General features: G+C 35.8%; 1 protein-coding gene across 42 annotated transcripts in view, besides 1 other annotated feature; it reads right to left on the reverse strand.

Moving 5' to 3' along the window:
- Positions 1-22,885, reverse strand: part of SOX5 (SRY-box transcription factor 5) — a 1,033,147-nt gene that overhangs the window by 274,312 nt on the left and 735,950 nt on the right. The gene's annotated exons all lie outside the window — the stretch shown is intronic.
- Positions 8,386-8,586: a silencer, noted in NCBI's record as "peak1610 fragment used in MPRA reporter construct". NCBI's record gives its function as "represses an SCP1 promoter by STARR-seq MPRAs in K562 erythroleukemia cells {active_cell/tissue: K562}" and the evidence as "EXISTENCE:reporter gene assay evidence [ECO:0000049][PMID:32103011]".

Here is a 22,885-nt window from a genome sequence, read left to right on the forward strand (position 1 = left end):
TTTAGCTGAATTTGAAAAGACACATGAACCGCATTCCAGAAAGTGAGGGGTTAAGAGCTTTCATAAGGATGACACAGCATGAATAGAATCTCATCTGTGTGATTAACCGTAAAGTCCACAAAATCTCAGATGCAGATATCTGTTCAGGTAGTTACAGACATCTGTTCAGATACAGGACAACAAAAAGTTATAGGTTTTGTTTACATTTTATCCATTTAAAAATAATTAATAAGTATTCAACAATTCCTCATCAATTCCCTTATTCAATGAACAAATATTAGGCAATGATCATATTTGGAAGTCAAGCTATCTAGTAAATAAACAAGCTTCTTAAGCCTCAATACTCTCAAAATCTCATGGAAGAAATAAATATTACAAGGAATAGAGTAAAATACAAATTCTATAAAGTAACAGAAATATGGGTGGCTGCATCATATTAACGTGAGGTTAACTGATCACACTATAGTATCTCCAATCTGAAATTCCATTTAAATAGAAAAAAATCCATAGATCCATATCTATAACAGCATATCCACTGTGCTACTGTTTGTTTGGTTATTGTTGTTAGTCAAAGGAAATTCCAGTAAGTGTGTGGCCAGGAAGAATAGGCAATGAGAAAAATGGATTGTGGAACAGAACTCTGATCAGATCACACCACTGCTGGAAAATCATCAATAGCTTTTCAGGTCCTAACCCATAAAGTTTCAACTCTGTAGCCTGGCATTCAGGGCTTCTCAATCCTAACCTCTCTCCATGTGGAATCTAATTTGGTTTCCTTTTCTCAATTTATTTGCCCTACATCCTCAATAATTATTTATTATCTCTGATGGTACCCGATGCATTTTAACCTCTATGCTCTTAGTTGAACTATTCATCCCAACTCAATCTCTCCAGATCCAGCCCTGGTGTCCTCCCCTGATGGAACTACTGACTGACCACCTTCGATGACTAATTTGAATACCGTTTTCTCCTTAAACTCCTCCTTCATCACTCCATCATGAAATAATCCACTTTGTTTCTGATTACGATATCTGTACCTTTCTTATGGAATTTATTATTTCCTGATATTTAACATTTTCTCTATTTACCTATCATTGTTTTATATATATATATATATATATATATATATATATATATATATATATATATATATTCCTTTAAAAAATCTTCAACATAAAAATGTAACTTTCTATGTGACAAGGTTGGCACCTTACTTGTTTTCTATGAGAGTGCTTTGCATGACTAGACGTTTTTTTAAAAAAATCTGTGGAATGAAAGAAGGAATGAATGAACTCATTCATTACATCATAATTCATTCATATTAACTGTGCTCATCACATGTTTTGAACTTGTGAGAAATAATATAGTGTAATAGTTTAAAAGCTAGCTTTGTGCTGGATTATCTCTGAGATAAAATCCTGCTTTTACTAACCTTGTAAATGGGCAATTTATTTAGCCCATTTAGACATCAGTTTTTCTATCTATAGTGGTATATGTTGATGCATATGTGTGTGTGATATATATGAATAATAAATAAATAGGCATATATTGGTAAATAGAGTAGTTGCAAGGATTAAAAGTGCTAAAAGAGATAAAACATGTAAAGCGCAATGCCTGAAAAAAAAACATATGCTCAATAAATGTTATCTACTGTTATCAAAAAGTAGCATCACTAAGGTTAGTACAACCTTTCAAAGTAACCAAAATTATTTTGTTCTGCTTCTTTTATTCCTATTCCCAACCATTAAAAGAAAAAAAGAAAATGGTTTATGCATTTTATACAACCCAAACACAATGTGTCAGAAATCTAGAGGACAGGAATCAGGATGGTCTATACAAATATATATGGCCAAACACAATATGTTAGAAATCTAGAGGACAGGAATCAGGATGATCTATACAAATGTATACGGCCAAACAGTAATTCAGAACAAAGTCAAACTTATCATCTAAGTGAAAGTTTTAGCAATCAGAAAATTTTCTATATACTGTTAACATTTCCTTCACATTTTACAAACTTCAGCTTTAATATTTGACTGAATAATTTGCTGTATGTGTAAATTTTGGTATGTGCCCAATTAGACAAAGTATGCTGTGAAATGTATTTGTTCATTACTCTTCTAGGGGTAGTGCAGATATAGACAGAATACATACTTAGGTTATATCAAATATTATTTCAATTTATAAAATTAGGAATATGCTAAGATTTAGATGATCAATTTTATGAGTAACTACATTTTTTTCTGACAAAACAAACATTTTAAAAGTGGCAATTCCTCTCAATTCTCTTTCTGCTTTAACTTACAATAATAGCCTTAGAGAGCTAAAGAAAAGTAAGGATCTTCCATTTCCCCTCTCAGTTTTGTTTTTAAATTTCCATTAGCCTTCTACAGTTCAATGAAAAAAATCAGCCTTCTACACTGAAACCTAACATTTCTCAACACCACTGCTAACAATGCCATGAGAAAGCATTAGGACAAGAATATAAAGGACAACCCTGCCTAACAGAGGCAAGGTCAAGAAGCACGCATCAACACCTTCTCCTCCCCAATCTGGAGCACTGAAATGGGAGGACTAGCTTTGGCTACAACACTCTGCTCCTAACAGGTGGTAGAGACATGTTTAACTCTGGCATAAATACAAAGAGTACAACTTTACTCAAACATTTCTTTTGATCTTTCTTTGGTTTATAGCATCAGATCAATGTAAAATGTAAACCAAAGACTGAGGTGCTATTTTACAATGTAAAATTTATCCTTTTTCCACTAAAAAAAAAAAAAAAAGAAAAAAAAAACTTTTCCTAAAACAAGAAAGCATAGCATCACAGAATAGTGGAGTGGAAAAAAAAAAAAAGACAGGGATTTATTAAGTTGCAGTCGTTTTTGGCTTTATTTTTAAAACAATAATAGTGTTGGAGAATAGAGCCACAGTCCCAGTAAGAATAGAATACAAGGTACAATGAAACATCTATAAACCCTCTAAACTTTTCCAGTCACAAGGTACTATAATTTTCTTCATGCCTACAATAGGCAGGATCAGCATCTTTGGGCGATAAAATGACTTTCAGGGACAGGTGAGCATTTTCTGCTACAAGGAAGAAGAGTGTGTTTGTTTTTTGCAATCTTTTCACCTCCCTTTCAGCATGATTTCTAACCTTTTCTCCACTTTCAGATATCTACCCAGAGCCTTGTGGCCAGCTTTTGGATGGCCAAATTTCCCAGTTAAAAGTCCACTTAGTTGGAGTGCCCTATATCAATGTTTCCATGAAATCAAAAATTATGTATTCTTCTTTTACACACCAATATTTAATTTTATGTGACATCAATTTAAACTCATACCGTGATTAGATTAATTCATAGCAATCTAGAAATGGTCAATTGGCCCATCTATCCATTTGTCTTTACATTTTTAGAGTGTTATGGTTCGATCTGTGTCCCTCGAAGGATATGCGAAAATTCTAATACCCAGCGACTATGAATGTAACCTTACTTGGGACACTTCATTAAGGTCTTTGCAGATTTAGTCAAGTTGAGATAAGGTCATTAGAGTGGGTCCTATGGGTCCTAATTCAGTATGATTGAGTTCCTCAGAAGAAGGTGGCCATTTGAAGACTCAGACACACAAAGATAAAAAAATCACAAGATAACAGAGGCAGAGATTAGACTGATATAGTTGCAAGCCAAGAAGTATCAAGGCTTGACAGTTATTACCAGAAGCTATGAAGAGGTAGGAAGGATGCTACCAAAGGTTTCAGAAGGATCATGGCTCTGCTGACAACTTGACTTCAGACTTCTAGACTCTAGAACTGTGAAAGAACAGAAATTCCATTTTTTTTTTTTTTTTGAGACAGAGTTTTGCTGTGTTGCCCAGGCTGGGTTGCAGTGGCACAATCTCGGCTCACTGCAGCCTCCGCCTCCTGGGTTCAAGTGAATTCTCCTGCCTCAGCCTCAGCATCCTGAGTAGCTGGGATTACAGGTGCCCACCACCATGCCCGGCTAATTTTTGTATTTTTAGTAGAGATGGGGTTTCACTATGTTGGCCAGGCTGGTCTTGAACTCTTGACCTCAAGTGATCTGCCCGCCTCGGCCTCACAAAGCGTTGGGATTACAGGTGCAAGCCACTGCATCTGGACAAAAATTCCAATAGTTTTAAGCCACCCAGTTTGTCATACTTTGTTAGAGTAGTCCTAAGAAACTAGTACAAAGAGCATATTATTAATTCAAATATCTCAATAGTTACCAGAATATGTGCAGAATATATGTTTGAGCAAGGCATCCTTGTTTTCCCTTCAGAATTCTGATATATATATATATATATTTTTATATGAACAAGCATGTTCACAGGAGCTTCTTCTTCCAGCAAATTTTAAGGGGAGATATCTCTACAAATATAGCTGTGGAAATGAATCAAAGTTAACTCTGTATTTCTACCACCTTTTCAATGACTTTCCCACGATCCTTTGTAATGTCCCTTCCCACCCCACCATCTCTCACTTGCTGCCTTCACATATAAGTTTTGTATATTCCCTTAGTTTTTCATGACACTCTCTTCCAATGTAAGCTGATGTTTATAGAAACTAAAAACAAAATCCACTGGTAATTGACTTTTATTAGCATCACTGAAGATGGTTCATTTAAGATTTAACCCTTAGTAATTAATCAAATATTAATTTAAAATAACCAAAGTAAATATTCAAAATAAAACACTTATTTGTAACTTATATCCAATTTAAGATAAAAATATTTCATACTTAAATAAATTTCTATACAAGCATGCATATATACTATAAAAAATAAGATAATTTTATCACTACTATCATTCTACTTTTAAAAATTAAATATAACTAGTGGGCATCTTTCCATAGTTTTATGGATTAGGATACTTGCTGTTTAACAGTCTTATCGTAATCCATTTATGAATACATAATAATAACCTTAGCCAGTCCCCTGACACTTAGAATGTCTTTAGTTTTTCTGTAACAGTAATGTCATATGTTCTTACATATTCTAGCACATATGTGTGAGAATATTCATACCAACAGTTTCTAATAGTGGACCTATTAGGTTTGAGAATATCTTAATATTGATAAGTATTGACATATTAACATTCAATATTCTTTATTCAATTTAAATTATAATCCTCAGACACAAAATAAGTAATTTGCATATACACATCATATACGTTGTAATATTATCCTTCAAACTCATGTATTCATATGCTTTATTAGAGAACAGACATCATGTAAATCCAGATATAATGAAATACAAATTTGGTGTGTGTATGGGAGACATCCTTCTGATATAAACCACACGTACACACACAAACTGATATTTCTACGTGTTTATATATTTATATATGCACAGAACATCTCTGGAGATATCCAGAAGGAAACATGTTACATAAAACCTAAAAGAGGAACGGGCTGGTGGGTAGGGAGAGGCAGTGGTAGGAATAGGAGTAGAAAAGAGAAATATTTTTCATTTTACACCTTCTATTACATTTTTCACTGAGTACCTTGTGCATATAATATTCTCTCAAGAAATAAGCCCCATTTTAATAAATAAATGTGAAAACCAGAATTTCTTATAAATTAGTATAGAGCATTATTCAACTAAGTTAGTGTAAATTTATTCAACACCAGTATTACATAAATTTTAAAAAAAATTATAAAGTAGCCCCAAATTATGTGGCTGATACATTTTATTAAAGCTGGTTTTCATTAATGATCTGTTTATATTATTCTTAAATACCTTAAAATCAATTTAAGAATCATCTATTTAGTTTTTGAAACATACTTTTTTATTAAAAAAAAAAACTAATACTCAAATTCAATCTTGCTTAACCAAGCAGAAAATCTATAGTTTTTCCCTTTTTTAATGTGTAAGGTTAAACCAGGAGGAAAACTCATTGGTTCCAGATGGTTACATCAGTGACAAATGAAAGTCTTTTTTTTTTTTTTTTTTTGAAAGATTTGACATTACTACACATTTTTAATAGACTCCAATTGATAACAGACTGAATTTCCCAATACATTTTCCACAATATTAGCTTAGAATGCCACTAATGAAATAGATCCCAAGTACTGAAATTATATAGTAAATGCCTCTTATGATTTAAAATGTTCAATAAAAGAGGATCTAGTCAAAGACAAATATTTCAAACGAAATATTTGGTTTGAAAGTATAGAGTTACTCTAATTTAAAATGCAACAAAACATCCTACTGAGTATTTTCGTGAAAGAGAAAAAACATACATCTACTAGAAGTAACTATTGTTTCTGGAAACACAGAAGCTATCAAAAGCAGGTGCAATACTATCTTCTGTCTCCTAACTTCTTTATGATATCTCGCCTTTTTATGCTTTCCAAGTTGACTTATTGTTCATTGAATTAAGTACACCAAAAAGTTATGTAACACACGACAGAATATAGATAAGTGTGGCATGCAGCACACGGTTTATTTATATATTACAAAACATGGCACCAGACTGTATTTTGAAATTATTATTATGATCATTTCATGTGTACAGCATCACAATACCAGTCCCCTTTAAAAAGCCCACAAATTGTTACTCTAGTGCATTCAGAGAGACACACAATGCAGGCTCAGATCTTGGCAACCTGTGAAAGTGCCCAGTCGAAAATTACTAACAGCTGGAGATGACAGTTGTTTTAACAGCTGAGCTGACAGGATTAATTTAAATGCACTGAAATCAAAAGTAGATAACACCTGTTTAGTCTTCTAGGGCCATTCGACAAGGTAGGCCAAAGGAAAAATGCAGAGCCAGAATTGTGTCGCTTTTTCTCCTAGAAGGACAGAGGGGCTTCAGAGGAGAATGTCACCTTTTTGATGGAGGTGGGGTTAGATTTTAGCAGCAGGGGGCTGGTCAGCCTTTATCAGTTTTTAACATCTGGTTTCTATAATGTATCTCCTTCCCTTTTTTCCTTCCTTGTCCAAGGTCTTTGACCCAAGCCCAACAGTGGATAAAGATCACTACATTTCAAAGCTACAGTTTCTCACTACAGCTTCCTAGAAATTCTCTTGGGTTAATTAATATATTCTTTTTGAGCTTCACAGCCACAGAAGAGCTGCTTTTTTTTCCCCTCTCTTCTTATCTTTAGTTCCAAAATATGTCATACAAGAGTTTGCATTTCAAATGGTTGCCAAAAGACTTATTCAGAGGTGGTTTTTGTGTAAGATATTTATCAGTAGTTGATTATTTTAATCTGAGTGGGGGTGAGTAAGGTATTGTGTTTTCCTCAAAAGATGCTTGTAAAAGCCTCGATTTCTGTATTCTTATGAACACAAGTGTATAAATGAAGCAAAATCAGTCTGAAAGCAGAAGTGTTCATTTTGCTTCACTTCCAAGGATTAGGCTCTAAATTAACTTGAGGAATATAAAGATTATTCACCCCCTACACAGAGGAATATTTTGGCCTAATATTAAGAATCCTAATATTCACAGATTGAAAACCATACCATTAAAATATGTTCCCAGATTGCACTCATATTGTTTGCCAGTAACACATATTATATAAAATGAATTTTTCAGCAGACATAAAGTTTGCCCTTCAAAATTTTACCAAGTTCAATACCTGCCCTATTTAAAAGAAAATATACTTCTATCCTGTCAGGCAGGGAAAGGAAATATCTTTAGGATTAAGGCTCCTTGCTTCTTAGCCAGCTCTCAATATTGAAAAGCACAAAATTTAAGGTTTTTATGTTTATTTGATTTACAGCCAAAATAAAGAGATAAGACAATAATGCTTTCCTTTTTCCCACTTGTGAGAAAATATATGTACATAAACTATGTTGAGAGGCAAAATTGTTGAATATTAAATAAAGTTAGGGCTTTTAAAATGGTCAAAAGTGGCATATATTTAAAGAAGAGCATGATTTAAAATGTTGATGAATGGTGAGAAATACTGGATGAAGTACTTTATGGGAAAGCCAAGTTCTAGGCACACAGTACTTCCAGTTTTCCTATTTCATAAAAATAAGTTCTGAATTAGAAGTAGTTAAAAATAAGCCTAATTTGTAATAAACCAGAAAGTCTTCCTGAAACACTCACTTTTTAAAAAAGACTTATCTCTTTGTTAACTTCAGAATATATGAAAAGCTTAGTCAATAAAAACCAGCTTTTAAAGTACCTTAGTTTTGCTCATTAACTTATAGTTAGTTACTATAGTAAGTAGTCACTGTAGTATAAATAAAGGCAAAATGTTCTTATTTTTTCAAGTAATTTGCAATAATATTGGGATATTTTTAAATCTTGAAGACCTATCAAATCATTGCATTTCATGAAATGAACTGAAACAACACTCAAAAGAAAAAAGCCAATAAATTAATCACTTCTGGTAGTTTCTACAACTAAAGTCTGGCACCCAGTAAATGAAGCTGTATGATAGAAAACAGCTACTAATGGTATATATTACTGTTTTTTTAATCATCTATCAAACAAGCTGCAACAAAGAAACTCATGGTCAAATAATGACCATCATATTTTCTTGCCAACATCAAAGTTATGACTGTGTTATAGACAGTAAAAGTGTGATGACACATTTTACATACTTTGGGTCAAAATATGTCTATCAGTAATTTGTTCTTCTTGGTAATATCTTAAAGTAATTTCCAAAGAGAAAACACAGATGGGGATTTTTTTTTTTCCGGAAAGAAACATTTATACTTTAAAGGACAATCTGTTATATGGTATTAGCTATTAGATCTCTTTAGAGAAAGACACAATAAAATTTTGAGCACATAAATAATATGAGCAAGGCCAAACCAACCAGGAGAATTTTAAGAAGTACAGGTTGTTTGTTTTGTTTCTTTCTTTGATATCCAATACCTGCATCAGGGGCAGGGAGTGTCAGAGGGAATACTGACTTAACCACCATTCATACTTTAAAGCCTGAAATATCAAAATCCCACTGACTGATGAAGAGCTTTGCCTAAAAAGACGAATACTGATGTACTGTATCTCAGGAACACACTATTCTCATAAAATTTACACTAATACACTTTTATTTGAAAGTATCTATATGAAGTATGTCATATGTAAAAAAAGTAAAAAGACAAGTCCGACAGTAACATTCAAGTGGCAGTTATTGTGAGAACTAAAATTGCTAAATGATAGGAAGAAAAATTCCTCAAATTACATTTCTTTTTTCTCTCACATTCAGTGCTGTCTAAACAACAGCAAAAAATCACACATTTTCAGAAAATCTAATTGTATTTCTAAACCATTCCATTCCAGAAAAATCTTTGGCTTTTTTGCCTTATGGTTATTTTAAAGTTTTCAGTGTATCGGGCATACAACAATAATTGTCACTCTATTCTGCCTAATGATAGATTCTTCAACTTTTAAAAAATAAGGAGCAGTTTCTTTCCTGCTTTTTATTTCTTTATACAACTCAGAGACTCAAAGAAGATAATTACAAACAATGCCTGAAGAATGGTTCAGTTAATGTTAATTTATACAACAAACTAATTACTACCAAATGGTAAAAATCACATGTGGAAGTCCCTCTCTCCCACGCACATAACTAAACCAGCAGCCATCTGTCTCAGCTTGGGGAAAGCTCAGGGACACCCAGAGAAGATAAGGAAAAAGGAGGGTGCAGATGCATCGGCTCATTCACCTGCATACCAATCACAAGATCTGATGACCACATTTCTGAGCATTTAGTACTTTCGGAAAAAGCAAAAAGTAAATACACAGAAAGAAGGTATTCCACATGTGCTTTAATAAAAGTATATGTTGTTCTATAATCATTATCACAGGTAGAAACCTATCTTCAGCAAGTAAGTGCTTATTTTCTTTTAGATAAAAATGACATATTTTAAAACTGTCATTCCTCATCCGTGTACCATTTTGCTACAGAAGAAAGAGCATGCATGCTTGAATTTTATTTAGGAAGTTCATAATTTCTGAGTTCTGGGAAGTGTGTCTGTATTTTAAAACAGTTAGTAAAATAATCTCTTTAAATATTATAACTATAACTTGGGAGATACTTGCCGAATTATTCTTATTGAAATAACTTCATACATTTTTAAGAGTAAAATAATGCTATCAATATTTTGACATTTAATCAGCCTGTCATATGCGGCAAAATAAGGGCGATATTTTTTCATTAATATCACAATGTGAATCTTGACATATAAGCAATAATGAATTTTCAGACGAAAGAAAAATCTAAATGAGAATTTAAGAGTATTAAAATGCTTTTTCTTTTTATAAATTAAAAGAATATTTATTTATAGATGTATTTTGGCATTCAAAATTCCAAATAGAGATTTTAGTGCTTGGTAAGTATTTTTTCAGTAATAAAAAGAATGAGAAAACTAGAAGTAGTATCAATAATGCCAATTTCCCCTAACATATATCCCCTGTGGAATTAAAAATGTCTTCACATAACATGTGCTGATCTAATTGAAATGGATTCTCTTGCATTGCCCTTCACATACTTGCTGGTAACTAACCTGATTCAGTGATAGACGCCAAAACAAACCCTGAAGCAGTGGCCTATAGGAAACTATACTCTTGCACAATGAGATGTCCCATACTGAAGGGTTCCAGACCTTCAATATGAGAGGTTCCTGTAGAAAGCAGTGGAAAAGACTGTACAACAGAGAAGCAGGACCCCAATACTGGAAGTGAGGAAACTGAAAAGTTCCCTTGAAGATATTTCTTGAGCTTATTTCATAAAAGTTGACAGATCTTCTACAAAACAATTTTTCTGAAAATTTCCCTGGACGTACACAATTTTTCACTTCAATTAACAGATTCTGAATTACTGGAAGCATTTTTTGTTTCTGCTATTTGTCAACTTCTTTTAAGATAACAGTCCCACATTTAGAAAAACTGGGAAAGATTATTGTGTTAGCCATTTCTATTAAATGAGCAATTCACAAAGCACGTTAGAGACTGAAGCAAACACTGCAAACATTGTTTTAAATTTCCACGCTGCATTTTAATATATAGGAAAAGGTAGAAAAAATGTAACTATCCATTAAAATACTTAAAAAATTCTATTCATTTTCCTTTTTCCTTTTTTATTTTTATAAGTTTTTATGCTGATCAACTTTACTCAGGCATATTCTTGAGAAAGCAAGAATATTTTAAAAGTCTAATATTTTGAAATATCTTATTGCCTTTTAAAATAGGTTAAGAACAGCTATAAACTGCAAAAGAGTTTTCATCCAAAGACTCCTTAAATAATTATTGTGATATTTTCCTTCAAGAAATCTTTATGGAAGGGCCAAGATTACAATGGTCATTCCTGTTAGAATCAAAGAAGTCACTTTAGAGTTGTAAGGACTTTGCAAATCTCATAATCTATATAAAGCATGCAGGTCAGTTACCAGCAATTTCCTCCATCTAGCTAGGGGTGGGGGCCATATAAAGGAGGAGAAAATGATAGAAATAAACACCGGATAATTCAAGATTCTAGTAAAAGCTAATATTGAAAGTGTCTGTCTTTCATTATTTGGACAAAATTATCACTGAAAGCAAGGTAGACAAATTACTATATAGACCACAAATCTTACAACACGAGATCTTCTATTCCGATGTACCAACAACAACCTTTTTTAAAATTTGGATTACCACAGAACACCTAATCAACACCAATAATAAAACTGATAACTGATAAGAGTTCATTATTCTTTTCTTCTTTAGGTCCATATGTCTTAAATGGTCCATTGACTTAATAAAAACATTGATAGCTCTAGAATTTCATGCCTGAAAAGAACTACAAAACTTTTTAAAGTAATTATTTTCAAATAAAGGGAAATGAAGTACTTGTCCAAGATACAGATAATGGCAGAGAAAATGCTACCTCCTAGGTCTTCATAATTCAGTATTTTCTCTATTAAATGTCCACTAGGATCAGAGCCAGGAGCCCTTGTGTGAATGGTTCTGGTCGGAGATAGCTTATTCAACCATTTAATTAACTTGTTCAATTAGGAGTCTCTATGCTAGGAACTCTGGATAATGGAATGACTATGACTTTATTGCTGTTCTTTAGGATAGGGGTAGGCAAATTTTATCTATAAAGGGCTAGATAGGAAATATTTTAAGCTTTGCAGGCTGTACTACTCAACCCTACCATTGTAGCGTTACATTACATTAATATGTAAATGAAAAAGCATGGCTGTGTTCCAATAAAACTTTATTTATAGGCACAAATTTGAATTTCATATAATGTTCATGTGTCATGAAACATTATTCTTGTTTTAATTTTTTTCAACAACTCATAAATGGAAGAACATTCTTAGTTCATAGAACATACAATACTACGCTGAGGTAGATTTGGCCTGTGGACCCTATTTGCGGACCACTGCTCTAGGAGGTCAAAATCTAATGGAGGAGAGACACTTGGACAAGATTTCTTTTTTTTTTTTTTTTTTGTTGGATGGAGTCTCGGTCTGTCGCCCAGGCTGGAGTGCAGTGGCACAATCTTGGCTCACCACAACCTCCACCTCCAGGGTTCAAGCGATTCTCCTGCCTCAGCCTCTCGAGTAGCTGGGACTACAGGTGCGCACCACGATGCCCGGCTAATTTTTTTGTATTTTTAGTAGAGATGGCGTTTCACTATGTTGGCCAGGTTGATCTCGAACTCCTGACCTCATGATCTGCCTGCCTCAGCTGGGATTACAGACGTGAGCCACTGCGCCTAGCCAGGACAAGATTTCTTAAGGAAGGCAGGATGGAGGTTTACATCTAGCAGAAAATTCCTGGTAGAGGGGAAACCTGAACTAAATAGTAAGGATGAATGGCCATCATTCAAATGCAGAGTGAGGTAAAGGCATTGCAACCAGATATCTTAAGCAAATAAAAGCAAGGTGACTAGGAAAAACAGCAGGCAACTGAGCATTGTTAGAGCAAATGTCATAAAAGGGTGATGCAAGGAAAAGTAGGAAATGAGAAGTGGGACTGGAGAGTTACACAGGAAGTGAGCTCACTATGGCTGCAGGTTGACTATGCCCACTTTAATACAGGTCTCTGGGAGACCCAATAAAACATATAGGATGGCACAAATACCACATCACACGCCACTGAGGCTCTTTTTCCATTCTTGAGAAGATATTAAACAGTTCTACTCTCATATCACTGAGGTTGCTCCTCCATTGTCTTTCCCCTCATGCAGAAATATTTAAAAATATAGATTACATTTTAAGAGCCAGCATGACATCTGAACATGTCACTATTAATGTATTACTATTTTGTCCCATATTTGTGTTATATATTTGTGTGTGTTAGAATTCAAGCAGTTTTGGTTAAAATTGGGGTTACAGTTACAGAGCAAATAGCATTTTAATGAATTTTGGCTAAGCATATATGTTTTTATTATGGATCAGCACATGAATCAAAAATTTACAAAGCTAAGTGTATTTTAGCCCTCCGAGTAAGATTAAGGTTAGGTACCCATTATTATTATTCTTATCATAATCTTGACTCAACTTTCCAAGCATCTTTCTGCTGGTAGTAAAACAGAGTTCAAGATAATATCCTCTACTCTTTAAAGTAAGTGATGGTTAAAGATGGATAGAGGAAAATCATACATTATATGTCTAGCCTTATTAGTTGCAGCACCCAAAGGAAAGCAATTAAAATATTTTCTTTACAGTTGTAAACTTTTCTCTGGAAGTTGTGAATAAGCAGAAATGAATAGTTTGAAAATATCCAGATAAGCTGGCATGATGAGTGAAACTACTTTAAAAGAAGTTGCGTCATAGAGAGATAGATCCAGTGAATATTGGAATTGTTTTTGCATAAGCACTTAAAGCAAATTGGCTAGACCAGTCATAATAACCATATGACCTAAAAAGTGACATACATAATAAAATGTCTATCAATATGTAAATATTAATTCATTTTAAAAGATATATAATAGAATGCACTGATTATACATTCGCTTTGGTATGAGTTCCCTCCTCTCTACTTACAGAGCCTCCTGTGCTTCCTCACTCACACTCCCATTCACCAAAAATAACATAGTTACTCTCCCAAAAGACCACGAACAACTTGAGAACAGGAACTATATCTTTGATTTGTCTTTTCATTAACCTATAAAATAACTAGAATATAGTAAGACCTCCATAAATGTTTGCTGTCAGAATGAGAGAATGACTGAATAGGTGATCACACAAAAAACAAAGGTTAAAGTTGTAAAGAAAGGAGATATTGACTCCTTCTTGGGCATTTAGAGAGATTTTATACAAGTTGTTAAAACACGAATCATAAGGTAATGAACAAAATAATAGAACATAGGACAGAAGTGGGAGTTCCCATTCTGTATTGAGATCCTGATCTGTGTACAGTCATGCATTGCTTAACGACAAGGATATCTTCTGAGAAATGTGTTAGGTGATGTTGTCATTATGTGAACATCCTAGAGGATCCTTTCACAGACCCAGCTGGTATGTAGCCTACTACACACATAGGCTATAAGGTATGGCCTCTTGTTTCTAGGGTACAAACCTGTACAGCTTGTTACTGTGCTGAATACCGTATGCAACTGTAACACGACTGTAAGTATTTGTGTATTCAAACATATCTAAATACAGAAAAGATACAGTAGAAATGAGGTATGAAAGATAAAAAGTGATACACATATATAGGGTATTTACTATGAACAGAGCTTGAAGGACTAGAAGTTGCTCTGGGTGAGTCAGTGAGTGGCAGGTGAATGTGAAGGGCTAGGACAGGACTGTACACTACAATAGACTGTAAACACTCGATTCTTAGACTAAATTAAATCTATAACAAATATTTTTCTTCAATAATGAATTAACCTTAGCTTACTACAATTATTCTACTTTATAAGCTTTTAAATTAATTTTATAATTAATTAAATTAACTTTTTGACTGCTATAATAACACAGGGTAAAACACACACATCATATAGCTATACAAAAACATATTATTTCCTTATATCCTTATTCTATGAGCTATTTTTCTATTCTTAAATTTTTAATTTTTCAAAACTTTTTATACATTTTTGTTAAACACTAAGAAACAAACACACAGGGACTACACGGGGCCAGAATCTTCAATACCACCATCTGCCACCTCAGCATCTTATCTCACTGGAAGGTCTTCAGGGGCTATGAGACCCCCCTGTGATCTCCTATGATAACAATGCCTTCTTCTGGAATACTTCTGAAAAATATGCCTGAGGTTGTTTTACAGTCACCTTGTTTTAATAAGTAGGAGTATACTCTAAAATAACTATAAAAATGATGGCATAGTAAATATATACATCAGTAACATAGCTGTTTATTATCAAGTATTATGTACTGTACATAACTGTATGTGCTATACTTCCAAATGACCAGCAGCACAGTGTTTGCTTACACCAGCATCACCACAAACTTGTGAATAACATGTTGTGTTACAACCCTACAACAGCTACTATGTCACTAGGCAAAAGGCATTTTTTAGTTCTATTACAATTTTCTGGGGCCATTGTTATACATGTGGCCTGTTGTTGAATGAAATGTCATGTGGCACTTGACTGTACTTTCTTTGTGTAAAAACTTGTTCTAGGAAAATATGTTTAGTTTAGAGATTAAGAGTGAAAAAATTGCTCTCTAAATGTAACTGCAAATTTATTTTTTTTATTCTACTGTAAGTTCTGGGATACATGTGCAGAATGTGCAGGTTTGTTCCATAGGTATACACGTGTCATGGTGGTTTGCTGCACCCATCAGCCCGTGATCTACATTAGGTATTTCTCCTAATGCTATCCCTCCCCTAGTCCCCCCACTCCCCGACAGGCCGTGGTGTGTGATGTTCCCCTCTCTGTGTCCATGTGTTCTCATTGTTCAACTCCCACTTATGAGTGAGAACATGCACTGTTTGGTTTTCTGTTCCTGTGTTAGTTTGCTGAGAATGATGGTTTCCAGTGTATCCATGTCCCTGCAAAGGACATGAACTCATTTTTCTTTTTTACGGCTGCATACCATTTCATGGTGTATATGTGCCACATTTTTTTAATCCAGTCTAACATTGATGGGCATTTGGGTTGGCTCCAAGTCTTTGCTATTGTGAATAGTGCTGCAATAAACATATGTGTGCATGTGTCTTTACAGTAGAATAATTTATAATCCTTTGGGTATATACCCAGTAACAGGATTGCTGGGTCAAATGGTAATTCTGGTTCTAGATCCTTGAGGAATCGCCACACTGTCTTCCACAATGGTTGCACTAATTTACACTCCCACCAACAGTATAAAAGCGTTCCTATTTCTCCACATCCTCTGCAGCATCTGTTGTTTCCTGACTTTTTAATGATCACCATTTAACTGGTGTGAGATGGTATCTCATTGTGGTTTTGATTTGCATTTCTCTAATGACCAGTGATGATGAGCTTTTTTTCATGTTTTTTGGCCGCATAAATGTCTTCTTTTGAGAAGTGTCTGTTCATATCCTTTGCCCACTTTTTGGTGGAGTTGTTTAATGTTGTAAATTTGTTTAAGTTCCTTGTAGATTCTGGATATTAGCCCTTTGTCAGATGGATAGATTGCAAAAATTTTCTCCCATTCTGTAGGTTGCATGTTCACTCTGATGACAGTTTCCTTTGCTGTGCAGCAGCTCTTTAGTTTAATTAGATCCCATTTGTCAATTTTGGCTTGTGTTGCAATTGCTTTTGGTGTTTCAGTCATGAAATCTTTGCCCATGCCTATGTCCTGAATTGTATTGACTAGGTTTTCTTCTAGGGCTTTAATGATTTTAGGTCTTAGGTTTAAATCTTTAATCCATCTTGAGTTAATTTTTGTATAAAGTATAGGGAAGGGGTCCAATTTCAGTTTTCTGCATATGGCTAGCCAGTTTTCCCAACACCATTTATTAAACAGGGAATCCTTTCCCATTGCTTGTTTTTGTCAGCTTTGTCAAGGATCAGGTGTTTGTAGATGCGTGGTATTATTTTTGAGGCCTCTGTTCTGTTCCATTGGTCTATATCTCTGTTTTCATACCAGTACCGTGGTGTTTTGGTTACTACAGCCTTGTAGTATAGTCTGAAGCCAGATGGTGTGATGCCTCCAGCTTTGCTCTTTTTGCCTAGGATTGTCTTGGCTATATGGGCTCTTTTTGAGTTCCATATGAAATTTGAAGTAGTTTTTTTCTAATTCTGTGAAGAAAGTCAATGGTAGCTTGATGGAAATAGTATTGAATCTATAAATTACTTTGGGCAGTATGGCCATTTTTATGATATTGATTCTTCCTATCCATGAGCATGGAATGTTTTGCCATTTGTTTGTGTCCTCTCTTATTTCCTTGAGCAGTGGTTTGTAGTTCTCCTTGAAGAGGTCCATCACATCCCTTGTAAGTTGTATTCCTAGATATTTTATTCCCTTTGTAGCAATTGTGAATGGGAGTTTGCTCATGATTTGGATCTCTTTTTGTCTATTTTTGATGTATAGGAATGCTTGTGATTTTTGTACATTAATTTTGTATCCTGAGACTTTGCTGAAGTTGCTCATCAGCTTAAGGAGTTTTGGGGCTGAGATGATGGGGTTTTCTAAATATACAATCATGCAATCTGCAAACAGAGATAATTTGACTTCCTCTCTTCCTATTTGAATACGCTTTATTTCTTTCTCTTGCCTGACTGCCCTGGCCAACACTTCCAACACTATGTTGAATAGGAGTGGAGAGAGAGGGCATCCTTGTCTTGTGACGGTTTTCAAAGGGAATGTTTCCAGCTTTTGCCCATTCAGTATATGGGCTGTGGGTTTGTCATAAATAGCTAGTTTATTGAGTGTTTTAGCATGAGAAGGCCTTTTCTGCATCTCTTGAGATAATCATATGGTTTTTGTCATTGGTTCTATTTATGTGATGGATGAAACCAGCTTGATCGTGGTAGATAAGCTTTTTAATGTGCTGCTGAATTCAGTTTGCCAGTATTTTATTGAGGATTTTCACATTGATGTTCATCAGGGATATTGGCCTGAAATTTTCTTTTTTTGCTGTATGTGTTGTTATTGGTCTATTCAGGGATTTGACTTCTTCCTGGTTTATTCTTGGGAGGGTGTATGTGCCCAGGAATTTATCCATTTCTTCTAGATTTTCTAGTTTATTTCCATAGAGGTGTTTATAGTATTCTCCGATATATATATATAGTTTGTATTTCTGTGGGATCAGTGGTGATATCCCCTTTATCATTTTTTATTGTGTCTATTTGATTCTTCTCTCTTTTCTTATTAGTCTGGCTAGCAGTCTATCTATTTTGTTAATCTTTTCAAAAAACCAGCTCCTAGATTCATTGATTTTTTGAAGGGTTTTTGTGTCTCTATCTCCTTCAGTTCTGCTCTGATCTTAGTTATTTCTTGTCTTCCGCTAGCTTTTGAATTTGTTTGTGCTTGCTTCTCTAGTTCTTTTAATTGTGATGTTAGGTTGTTGACTTTAGATCTTTCCCACTTTCTCCTGTGGGCATTTAGTGCTATAAATTTCCCTCTAAATACTTGCTTTAGCTGTGTCCCAGAGATTCTGGTACATTGTGTCTTAGTTCTCATTGGTTTCAAAGAACTTATTTATTTCTGCCTTAATTTCCTTATTTACCCAGTAGTCATTCAGGAGCAGGTTGTTCAGTTTCCATGTAGTTGTGTGGTTTTGAGTGAGTTTCTTAATCCTGAGGTCTAATTTGATTGCACTGTGGTCTAAGAGACTGTTATGATTTCCATTTTTTGCATTTGCTGAGGAGTGTTTTACTTCCAATTATGTGGTCAATTTTAGAATAACTGCTATGAAGTGCTGAGAAGAATGTATATTCTGTTGATTTGGGGTGGAGAGTTCTGTAGCTGTCTATTAGGTCTGCTTGGTCCAGAGCTAAGTTCAACTCCTGAATATACTTGTTAATTTTCTGTCTTGTTGATCTAATATTGACAGTGGGGTGCTAAAGTCTCCCACTATTATTGTACTATTATCGTGTTGGAGTCTAAGTCTCTTTGTGGGTCTCTAACTTGCTTTATGAATCTGGGTGCTCCTGTATTGGGTGCACATACATTTAGAATAGTTAACTCTTCTTGTTGCATTGATCCCTTTACCGTTAGATAATGCCTTTCTTTGCCTTTTTTGATCTTTGTTGGTTTAAAGTCTGTTTTTATCAGAGACTAGGACTGCTTTTTTTTGCTTTCCATTTGCTTTGTAAATCTTCCTCCATCCCATTATTCTGAGCCTATGTGTGTCTTTGCACATGAGGTGGGTCTCCTGAATACAGCACACTGATGTTTCTTGACTCTTTACCCAATTTGCCAGTCTGTGCCTTTTAATTGGGCCATTTAGCCCATTTACATTTAAAGTTAATATTGTTATGTGTGAATTTGATCCTGTCATTATGATGCTAGTTGGTTATTTTGCCTATTGTTTGATGCAGTTTCTTCATAGTGTTGAAGATCTTTACATTTTGGTTTGTTTTTGCAGTGGCTGGTACCCATTTTTCCTTTTCAAATTTGTGCTTCCTTCAGGAGCTCCAGTAAGGCAGGCCTGGTGGTGACAAAATTTCTCAGCATTTGCTTGTCTGTAAAGGATTTTATTTCTCCTTCACTTATAAAGCTTAGTTTGGCTGGATATGAAATTCTGGGTTGAAAATTCTTTTCTTTAAGAGTGTTGAATATTGGTCCCCACTCTCTTCTGGCTTGTAGGGTTTCTGCAGAGAGATATGCTATTAGTCTGATGGGCTTCCCTTTGTGGGTAACCCTACTTTTCTCTCTGGCTGCCCTTACCATTTTTTCCTTCATTTCAACCTTGATGAATCTGACGATTACGTGTCTTGGGGTTGCTCTTCTAGAGCAGTATCTTTGTGGTGTTTTCTGTATTTCCTGAATATGAATGTTGGTCTGCCTTGCTAGGTTGGGGAAGTTCTCCTGGATAATATCCTGAAATGTGTTTTTCAATTAGGTTCTATTCTCCCCGCCACTTTCAGGTACACCAATCAAACGTAGGTTTGGTCTTTCACATAGTCCCATATTTCTTGGAGGCTATGTTCATTCCATTTCATTCTTTTTTCTCTAATCTTGTCTTCATGCTTTATTTCATTAAGTTGATCTTCAATCTCTGATAGCCTTTCTTTCGTTTATTTGATTCAGCTGTTGATACTTGCGTATGCTTCACGAAGTTCTTGTGCTATGTTTTTCAGCTCCATCACGTCATTTATGTTCTTCTCTAAACTGGTTATTCTAGTTAGCAATTTGTCTAACCTTTTTTCAATGTTCTTAGTTTCCTTGCATTGGGTTAGAACATGCTCCTTTAGTTTGGAGGAGTTTGCTATTACTCACCTTCTGAAGCCTACTTCTGTCAATTCATCAAATTCATTCTCCATCCAGTTTTGTTCCCTTGCTGGCGAGGAGTTGTGATCCTTTGTAGGAGAAGAGCCATTCTGGTTTTTGGAATTTTCAGCCTTTTTGAGCTGTTTTTTCCTCATCTTTGTGGATTTATGTACCTGTGGTCTTTGATGTTGGTGATCTTCAGATGGAGTTTTTGCATGGTTGTCCTTTTTGTTGATGTTGATGCTATTGCTTTCTGTTTGTTAGTTTTCCTTCTAACAGTCAGACCTCTCTTCTGCAGGTCTGCTGGAATTTGCTGGGGGTCCACTCCAGACCCTGTTTGCCTGGTTATCACCAGCTGAGGCTGTAGAACAGCAAAGACTGCTGCTTACTCCTTCCTCTGAAAGCTTCGTCCCAGAGGGGCAGAGCCAGCCGGATCTCTCCTGTATGAGGTGTCTGTTGACCCCTGCTGGGACGTGTCTCCCCGTCAGGAGGCACAGGTGTCAGGGACCCACTTTAGGAGGCAGTCTGCCGGGAGATCCACTGCTCTCTTCAGAGCCTGTAGGCAGGGAACGTTTAAGTCTGCTGAAGATGCGTCCACAGCCTCCCCTTCCCCCAGGAGCTCAGTCCCAGGGAGAGAGGAGTTTTATATATAAGCCCCTCGCTGGGCCTGCTGCCTTTCTTTCAGAGACGCCCTGCTCAGAGAGGAGGAATCTAGAGAGGCAGTCTGGCTACAGTAGCTTTGCCGAGCTGTGGTGGGCTCTGCCCAGTCTGAATTTTCCGGCAGCTTTGTTTAAACTGTGAGGTGGTTTAAACCGCCTACTCAAGCCTCAGTTATAGCAGATGCCCCTCCCCTCACCCAGTTAAAGTGTCCCAGGTTGACTTCAGGCTGCTGTGCTGACAGTGAGAATTAGATGCCAGTGGATCTTGGCTTGCTGGGCTCCATGGGGGTGGGATCTGCTGGGCTGGACCACTCGGCTCCCTAGCTTCAGCCCCCTTTCCAGGGGGAGTGAACGGTTCTGTCTCTCTGGCATTCCAGGTGCCACTGGGGTATGAAAAAAAACTGCAGCTAGCTCAGTGCCTGCCCAAACGGCTGTCCAGCTTTGTGCTTGAAACCCAGGGCCCTGGTGGTATAGGCACCCAAGGGAATCTCCTGGTCTGCAGGTTGCGAAGACCATGGGAAAAGCATAGTATCTGGGCCGGATAGCACTGTCCCTCACGGCTTCCCTTGGCTAGGGGAGGGAGTTCCCTGACCCCTTGCAATTCCCGGGTGAGGCAACGCCCTACCCTGCTTCTGCTCACCCTCCGTGGGGTGCACCCACTGTCTAACCAGTCCCACTGAGATGAACCGGGTACCTCAGTTGGAAATGCAGAAATCACCCACCTTCTGCGTTGGTCTGGATGGGAGCTGCAGACGGGAGCAGTTCCTATTCGGCCATCTTGCCCGGGGGCCCCTATTATTTTTATTTTATATGTATGTGTTTGTATGCGTGTATTTATTCAGAAAAATTTCGGAGATCCGACAGAGTTGGCAAAATTTTGTCCTGTGGATAGTATCCACATAGATATAGAAACAGCTATAGGACAGAGATAGATTTAATACTACTTTAATTCTATGTTTTCAAAACAACAAATAGATAATATTTTAGAAGGTTTCATATTGTTTGCAATTTAGATAGAACATTTCAAAAGGTATAGTGTATAAATATCTATATTATATGTATACTTTAAAACTGACCAATTATTTTTTATTCAAATAGTTTTAATTTAAAAAGCAAAGAAAAAAAATCTGGCAAAAAATTAAGAACTCTAAGATTTACTATTCCTTTTTACTTAACTAATATTCTTTATTAACTCCTAATTGTAATCCGGTAAGTGAAAAGGCTGTGTCAAAGAAAATGAACAATTTCAACTTATCTTGAGTTACACTGTTTCATTTCTCTTTTTTTTTATTATACTCTAAGTTTTAGGGCACATGTGTACAATGTGCAGGTTAGTTACATATGCATACATGTGCCATGCTGGTGTGCTGCACCCAGTAACTCGTCATTTAACATTAGGTATATCTCCTAATGCTATCCCTCCCCCCTCCCCCTACCCCACAACAGGCCCCGGTGTGTGATGTTCCCCTTCCTGTGTCCATGTGTTCTCATTGTTCAGTTCCCACCTATGAGTGAGATCATGTGGTGTTTGGGTTTTTTTGTCCTTGCGGTAGTTTGCTGAGAATGAGTGTGTGAGTTACACTGTTTCATTTCTAATGATTCCCATGCCACCGAAGGAGAAAAGAATAAATAAAGCAACAACGGCTTGTCCTATTGCAGCCCAGAACAAGTATGGCTATAGTTCTCCTTCAAAACTTAAGCAATGAGAAGGTAAAACATGAGCAAACACGTCTAATTCCTATCCCATTTACTTGGATATGGATGCTTTTCTCTCCCTGAAAGCTGGAGAGCTATACTATATAAGGACTGACAACTGACCTCCCTTATTTATACTGCACTGCTCCCAATATGGCAGCCTCCCCGTTTATGTGTTCACTAAGACATGGTATCTTGACACTAATGAAAAATCCTAAAGTACTGGAGCAAGGACTGATGCAAGAAAATTAGGGCTTA

Source organism: Homo sapiens, chromosome 12, assembly GCF_000001405.40.
Source record: "Homo sapiens chromosome 12, GRCh38.p14 Primary Assembly".
NCBI classification, from domain to species: Eukaryota; Metazoa; Chordata; class Mammalia; order Primates; family Hominidae; genus Homo; species Homo sapiens.